This window comes from Homo sapiens, chromosome 16 (assembly GCF_000001405.40).
Source record: "Homo sapiens chromosome 16, GRCh38.p14 Primary Assembly".
In the NCBI taxonomy this organism is placed as follows: Eukaryota; Metazoa; Chordata; class Mammalia; order Primates; family Hominidae; genus Homo; species Homo sapiens.
This window is the reverse complement of record NC_000016.10, coordinates 59,235,681-59,238,401: the sequence shown is the minus strand read 5'-3', so window position 1 is coordinate 59,238,401 and position 2,721 is coordinate 59,235,681. Positions and strand designations below refer to the sequence as shown.

Here is a 2,721-nt window from a genome sequence, read left to right as displayed (position 1 = left end):
TGACTCCTGAGCAGTAATGGGTTATAGAAACTATGCCTTCATACTTAGCAGAATTCAGGCCTCTCACATAATCTTATTCTTGTGGCCTTTCATTAGTCCTATAAAGGCAGTTTTTGGTCCCTGAGCAAGGAGCGGGGTTAGTTTTAGGGAGGGACTATTATTGTCCTTGCTTTTAAGTAAAATTATAAACTAAATTCTACCTAAAGTTACTTGGCTTATGCCCAGGAATGACCAAGGGCAGCTTGGAGGTCAGAAACGAGATGGAGTCAGTTATGTCATATTTCTCTTACTGTCATAATTTTGCAAAGGAGGTTTCAGTGAGATGTAACCTACCAACTCAGTCTAACATATATTAATCCAGTACATGACACAGTAAGTAATGCAGATACAGAGAGAGCTGCCCACGTCTACATGCTGCCTAGTCATTTTCTTTTGATGTCTAATGCCTACATCATAGTATATACTCGATAAAGTTTGTGTGCCTGATTGACATCACTAGAGGAAGAAGTAAGATAAAAAACAGAAAATGTCTAAAGTACCCAGAGTCAACTGAAAGATATTCAAAAGAGGCAACCTACTTGTTAAAGAAACAAATATTCCCACCATCCTTAGGATCCAAGGCTGCACTCAGTCAAGGACACAGGAAATTGTGTCCAGAGTTGGGATGCAAACCAGGATTGTATAATTTCCCAGCCTTAGGTAATAACATTGCACTATGTAAGCCATTTTGTAAAACTTCTGTGTAACCTTTCTACTTTGTCATGAAATAGCATGAGTGCACTTTATAAAATGGATCTTTTTTTCTCATCTAGGTTTTGGAATCCACAGATATGCTATTTAATAAAGAACATAACAATTCAAATCAGTTGACCTTGTATTATTGTGACATTTGAGTTTGGTCACAGAAATCTCTGAAAATTTCATCAATTAAAAGCTTTTCTTTTTTGGAGGGGTGGTCAGGGGTGAAGGGAATGACAAGACTGTTCCCTACTACTATATAAAAGAGAAAGAGTTATGCCTTCTAATAGAACCACCAAAACAGCTTTTAGAAAAGATAGCATGTTTTTTTTCCCTGCTGTGCAGACATTTTGAACTTGCTGAGGAGCCCAACTGTTTAGCCTATGTGGAGGCTGAAATACCAGCAGCTCCGAATGACAATGAAAGCCCAATTGGGACGGGCATTAAAATGGAAACCACTTGAAGCAAGTGGCAAAGGGAAATCAATCAGCGTTGTTATTTTTTGCTTCTCCTGGAGAGCTAGCAAGGCCATGCAGAAAGATGGTGACAAAAATTTGCCTTTGAAAAACTGCACTATAATTATATGTCTAACAGCATAGTGCAACTCCCATTCAAGGAAAAGGCAACATCACCTCTGAGTGTCAGGTCCTACGTTTCATGAAGCCTATTAATCACTATAATGGATAGAATACCACTGTGCATCTGTCTAATCTAATCCTTTAGCTTTTCCATGGCACTTTCATAGACATTATATCATGGAGAGGCAGTATGGCAGAGCAGGAGAAGCATAAGACAGTGTGTGGCAGGCCTTGATTTTAATTTCACTTCTGCCAGGTAAGTCCAGCCAACCCTAAACAGATTGCTTAACACCTCTGGCTCCTTGGCTGGAAAATGAGGATAATAATACTGATCTTAATGGGCTATAGTGAAGGTTATAGGTAATGTTTATAAGGTACCTGTAACACAGTAGATGCTCAGTGACGAATGACCATTGGTATTACTATTGTGGGGCCTTAGACACTTGGCCCTCTAAAGGTTCTCTAAGAAATCACTGACATGAGGCAGATTGATTAATAGGAGAAGACATATGAATTTATTTAGCATGTATACCCCAGAGCCTTCAGTATGAAGACTCAACTTCCCAATGAGTTACAGAAACTTACATATTGTCTTGAGGCTATAGAAAGAAGGGGAGCTTGGATCCTGGTAAAACAGGTTATGAGAGTAGGAGAAAAAAATTCTATTGATGGGTAATAAATAATTACTGGGGAGAATGATTGGAGCAGGAAACTTGGAAACAGCTCTCTTTGGAATTTAAATGATCTTTGAAGACTGTCATTATACTCATAAAAAAAATCTGTTCAGGTGTGGTCACATTTTGGTCTTCTTTTCCACAATAAATAAGGAAATAACAGGGAGAGGAAGAAAAAACAATTATTCTCCTTGGTGAGGCTGGATATTAGGCAGATGAAGGAACTTCAGTCTCTTTGGAAGAGATGGTGAGTAGCAGGGGGAAGATTAGAGAGATCTTGAGGTTTCTTCAGCTCAACATGTCACAATGTCGTATTTTGGAGTGTCAGTTTCTGAGCCCCAACACACTAGTATCATCAGAACCTCAAAGCTAACTCTAAAGTTAAACAGGGCATATATAAAACACTCAGGAAGAAATATGAGGAAACTGGACTCAATCAGTTAATAGTACTTGCTTAAGATAACACAGCCAGCTAGTAAAAGTATCAGATTTCCACGTCCTTCTCTTGAGTTCTTAGAAAACCTGTATGTTAAATACCCTTTTCCACTGGGAGAATACTGACAATAAGAATAGTTGTTATAAGAGAATGAGGACGTAGAAAGCCTTTCATCCATCTTTTACTTTTTTAAATATGTATTTTGTAAGTAATTAGGGTAAACAAGCATACTACATATTCCAAATTAGGTCCAACTTTCATGAATTAGCATACACACATATCTATCCCAATGATG

At 38.1% G+C, this 2,721-nt stretch overlaps 1 annotated feature.

Annotated features, from left to right (window-relative positions):
- Positions 926-1,468: an enhancer, noted in NCBI's record as "OCT4-NANOG hESC enhancer chr16:59270838-59271380 (GRCh37/hg19 assembly coordinates)". NCBI's record gives its function as "activates a minimal SCP1, AML or CMV promoter by ChIP-STARR-seq in naive H9 embryonic stem cells {active_cell/tissue: H9 hESC(naive)}" and the evidence as "EXISTENCE:reporter gene assay evidence [ECO:0000049][PMID:30033119]".